The 5559-nt window shown below is 35.6% G+C and overlaps 1 annotated feature.

Moving 5' to 3' along the window:
* Positions 1912–2477: an enhancer, noted in NCBI's record as "NANOG hESC enhancer chr2:184616415-184616980 (GRCh37/hg19 assembly coordinates)". NCBI's record gives its function as "activates a minimal SCP1, AML or CMV promoter by ChIP-STARR-seq in naive H9 embryonic stem cells {active_cell/tissue: H9 hESC(naive)}" and the evidence as "EXISTENCE:reporter gene assay evidence [ECO:0000049][PMID:30033119]".

A 5559-nucleotide genomic window follows, 5' to 3' on the forward strand; every position in this document is an offset into this window, starting at 1 on the left:
GAACTATGTTCTGTACTCCCTGAGTTTCTTGAAATTTGTTGACAAGTCCCAGTCTAAGTGGAAGAAAAAAAAAAGGGACAAATCAAAGTGTATTTCCTTTGAAAAATCCCAGTTTTCACTCCTGTAGTACATTTTTAAAATACATAAAATGGAGATGGAGTCTCAATATGTTGCCCAAGCCAAGTCTTGAACCCTTGGACTCAAGCAATCCTCCCACCTTGGCCTTCCAAAGTGTTGGGATTACAGGCATGAGCCACCACTCTTGGCCTCTTTCTGTACTACTTTTAATTGTTTGGTAAAGAATCACTTCTAATCCTTCCTTCAGTCTGTCTTACCAGTGTATTCACTGGCCAACCTCTTAGGTCCCACCCCCATGATCCCTATATTATACAGCATATTTGCTAATGGCAGAAACAAACTGGATTTCAGGGTCAAATAACTTTCCCATCACATGACCCAGTCAAGATTCTCGTCCCCATCAGATCATAATAAAATTATTCAAATATCACTTACCTTTTCATTTAAAATGTCACCATTATCCATACTATGGGAATATGTATGTAAATCCATGAAGCCACAAATATTGTTTATCTTCTTTCCTGCTAGCCTCTCTTGATTTACTGGTCACCTCTCCACTATTTTTACTCTTCCTAAGTCAGCTTGTTTCCCTCCATAGGGTATAATTTAACAGCTTGTTTGGTTCTTTTTCTCTACCCACTAATATATCAATGCCTTCTTGTTCTGGTCAGCAAATCTTCTGCCAAGTATGTTCTCCCCACTCTTCATTAGATGTACTTTCTTTTGCCAGGAGCATTAGTTTAGAATCATGCATCGTGGTCCAGAAAACTAAATTCTGTTCTTTGACATCATATACAGAGCCAGCTGTTCACTTCTCAGTTCCTTCTTTATCTTCCAAAGTTATGACCTTGGATTAGAAGAAATTAAACCACCACCTGCATCCCTAAGACCTTCAGTTTCTTGCTCAGGTTTCTAAATACTCCATGCATAATTTTTACAAGCCTTTTGTTTGCATTCATATTTTCAACTGAACTACTGAAATGTCTAATTAGAAAGCATACCTGTGTGAAGATATCAAAAATGCTAAGTGACTTCCTATGGATTAAGTAATGTTTTCTCATCATGTAGTCTTCAGTATCATTAATGAATATTGTCATATATTAATCCTTATTTTGTCTACACTAATTTCACTTTCTACAGTGAATCATTTCAGTGTAACACTAGAAATACATGAGGCTAGATGTTTCAATTTAAAAATTTCTCTTAAAAATTTTTGTAATTATATTCTTGTAAGAATTCTGAAGAACTAATTTTGCAATAGTTTAACATTCGGGACTCAATCGTCAACATGTTAATCTTCTCTATTTAAAGACTATCTCTTATGTTCACTAATTGTATGCCTTTATTTAAGCTATGGATTTCCGCACAGTTGAGATGAAAAGTCTTATTAAAATATTAAAAAGCAATAAAAGCTTAACTCAACTATTATTGAATTAAGCTAAGAACGAGGGTTGTAATCTATTTTATCTTTTTTAAAATACCAAAGACTTTTTCTACAACTTAAAGAAATATGTATTCAGGGAAAAAGACAATCATTTATTTGAAAAATGAAACTTAAAATGAACTCACAATTATTTTCAACAACATGTTTTTCTGTTTTTGGTCCTCTCTTGTGTTGACACTATGGCATGGAACAATGTAACTTACAGATGGGATTTTAAGTTAAATTGTAGGTCAAGGCACTTGAGAAGATTTACTGCTCATGCACAAATGCTCTCCCCCTTATTATTGAATTAGTATATTCAGTTGCTCTGACCATGTGAAAATGAATGTAATCCTGAACTCTTTTCATGTAATCCCAACATCACAGCACCCATGAATTCAGACAAGTCATCAGGACAGTTTCTGTTTCCTCATCGCTTTGTAAGCATTCATGAATTTGTGGATGTGTGAAGTGAGTTCTAATCCTCTAGCCAGAATAGGGTAAAGGTTTTATCTTTCCAGTAAGGGCTCCATATCTATCTATCTCCCTCCTATCACTCTAGCACCCTGTACTCTTTGGGGCACTCTTTCTATTAGCAGATAGAGCCTTATCAATGTTCTCGGGACTTCATCTGATCCTGTTCTACATGAGAATCATCTGGGAAGCTTAGACAATAGGTACTGTCTTGCCTCCATCCCAGAGCAATTAAGTTGGAATCTCTAGGGGTAGAGCACAGTTGTTCACATTTATTACTCCCAGGTGATTCTAATGTGCCATCAAGGTGGAAAACTTTGCTATAGATGTTGAGGCAGTGATACTCAACGTTAGCTGCAAAGTGGAATCACCTGGGGATTTTTGTTTGTTTGTTTGTTATAGAATTCCCACAGCCCAGACTAGTTATATCAGCATATCTGGGAGCGAGACTAAGGCATCAGTTTTTTTAAGAAAACCTCCCCAGGTAAATCCAAGCAAAGCTGAAAACCATTGAGGCAGGCAGTGATTCCACTGAACTTTTAACATTCACTCTCGTAACACCACCCACAAATGTTTTCTTTCTACTCTCCACTGACAGATACAGATCTTATCCTATTTTCTTTACTCCCACTTCTGTCCTCACCACACATATACACAGACACACACAAGTGGTATTTCCATGAGCTGCAGACTTTATTGAAGGTTTGGAACAAAGGAAGAAATTTATATTTGAGAAAAAAATCCTGCTATTTATTATTAGATATCCTCTGCCTCAAAGTTTTTGGCCACCCTACCATCTGCCTGTTTTAAATGCTAAAGGTAACTTTACCTATCAGATCCACTCACATTTTTATATAGGGAAACGTAGCCCTCCCCCACACTGGCAAACATTACATACCCAAACATCTTTGGGTTACACTATTTTCTTTCTTTCTCACTACCAGTCTCTAAGTATAAAAGAACACCATTAAAAGTCATAAAGAATACTATAAAATTCCGTCACCCGCCCTACACACAGCTAGCCTGAAGGAGGCAGAGATGTTAAAGTCAACTTTAAGTTGACTTTTTTTTTCTGAACAGGTACACAAATAACTGCTACATGAATGAAAGTAATTATACAATGAGAATTGTGACTTTTTTTCTGAACAGGTACACAAATAACTGCTACATGAATGAAAGTAATTATACTATGAAAATTAGACAATTCTCAATTGAACTCTCAAAGTAAATCAGTGGAAACCTTAAACAAACCTTTATAAACACTTGCTTATAAAAAGTCAAAGGACACACAAATTCAGATTCCCCAATAAGTAGACTTTCCTGAAGCAAAAGTTAGAAAAATGGTCTGTGAAGGAAATAAAATACCAACTAAGAAGCTCTTCATTTCCAATTTTCTATTTTTAGATCATTCAATTTGAGCCTATTATCTCTGCCATACTGTTTGTTCTCATTAATTTTCATTTGTGTTTTTAATATTGTTTATACATTTGTTATGCCTTCTCCAGCATCTTAGATTGCCCATTTATTATTTCTATTTCCCACTAATTCTCAAATTACTTCCCAATTAATTACATACACAAATAATTGTTTTTAAACTTAATAAATGCTCTATTAATGAAGCTTTGGGAAAATAACGTTATGAATTTTTATGTTAACTTTTGAGGAAGAACATTGTTGCTTAATGAGATCACAGTAATAGCTATGAACTAAACCCAACTATTACTCAATAGTGCTGTTTTAAATCACACCAAATTTCAAAGGCATACAACAATAATGAAAATTAATTTCACAAATATGCATCAACTGGAATTAGGCTAGGATCAGGCTGGGATGGACTGTGATTGGCTCTAGATCAAGGTGTGACCAGTATGCTCCCACAGTGGCTACCCAAGCCATGTTCTTCTTATGATAGGCGTTCGAAAGAACAAGCCCAACACACAAATACATATCAAGTCTTGGGTCACATCACATCTACTAACATCCTGTTGGCTAAAGCAAGTCATATGGTCAAGTCCAAAGTCAAGAAACTGAAAATATAAACTGCTCAGCATGAGATCATAATAGATATTTAATATTACTATAGGGAACAATTTTTTTTTTTTTTTTTTTTTTTTTTTTTTTAGAGTCAGGCTCTATAACACAGGCTAGGGTGCAGTGGTGCAATCATAGCTCACTGTAACCTTGAACTCCTGGGGCTCAAGCGATCCTCCTGCCTCAGTCTTCTGACTAGCTAGGACTATAGGCATGCATCACCATGCCCAGCTAATTTAATTTTATGTAGAGATGGGAGTCTGTCATGTTGCCCAGGCTGGTGTTGAACTCCTAACCTCAAGCAATTCTCCCACCTCAGCTTCCCAAAGTGCTAGAATTACAGGTGTGAACCACCATGTCAGCCAAGAACAATTTAATTTACCATATTATCCTAGAAATACCATTTCTGGAACATACATGATAGGGTGTTAATATTTCTGTCCATATTTCTAAACTCAGTAATAACCTTGAGTCTTTCTCTCTACCTCCTTTATTCTTCTTTGAAGTTAAAGAAATATCTCAAATGCCAGAGACAATGGACTATGGTATTAAATAGTTTTGGCTCTGGGGTCACACCCCCTGAGTTTTTATCCTTGCTTAACTATCTCTTAGATGTATAACTTCAGACAACTTAACCTTTCTGTGCCTTAACTTTCTTATCTCTAAAAGTGGGGATAATACTACAAGCTACCTCATAGTGTTGTTATGAGAATTAGCTGAAATAACCCAGGTTAAGCCCTTAGAAGACTACTAGTGAATGGGAAGTACTCAATAAAAGTTAGCTAGCTAATGGAAGGAGAAAGGAGTCATCAGTAGAGTTGGACCAAGGTTAAATGTTTTCATCTCCCTTCATTTTATCCCTGAAGCCTTTTGGTAAAGAGGAAGTCAAACTTTCATCCTTTTTCTTCCTACATGGCTATTCTGACAATTACCCTGTGCTGGTCAAAGAAAGCCCCACCCCAGGAAAGAAAACTTGGTGTAGGCTTCTTAAGTAGCTGTTTTTCTTAAAAAAAAAAAAAAAAAAAAAAAATACAAAAGAAATTCCTTTGTTTCATGATCCTTTCTCTAGCTGAGGATGCATGAAAAATATTTGCTACATAATTTCTACATTAGTATAAGAGCATAATTTGAGTGCTTACATTGAGCCAAGTAACTTTGCTAAGCATTTTGCATATTAACATTAGGTTGATGCAAAAGTAATTGAAATAAAAGTAATGGCAAAAATCACATTCTCCCAAAGTTCCTAGGAAATGAATAACATTTTTATCCTCATTTACAAATGAAGACAACTGAAACTTAATTTGCCAAAGCACTCAGAGGTAGCAAAAGACTAAATTTGCATCGAAAATGAGCCTGTAGAAAGGACATACACACACATAAAAAACTACAGACCAATATCCCAGATTAACATAGATACAAAAATCCTTAACAAAATACTAGCTACCCAAATCCAATAGTATATCAAAAAGATAATACATCATGATCAAGTGGGTTTCATACCAAGGATGCAGGGATGGTTTAACATAGCAAGTCAATAAATGTGAGACGCCACA

The sequence above is a fragment of the Homo sapiens genome, chromosome 2, assembly GCF_000001405.40.
Source record: "Homo sapiens chromosome 2, GRCh38.p14 Primary Assembly".
In the NCBI taxonomy this organism is placed as follows: Eukaryota; Metazoa; Chordata; class Mammalia; order Primates; family Hominidae; genus Homo; species Homo sapiens.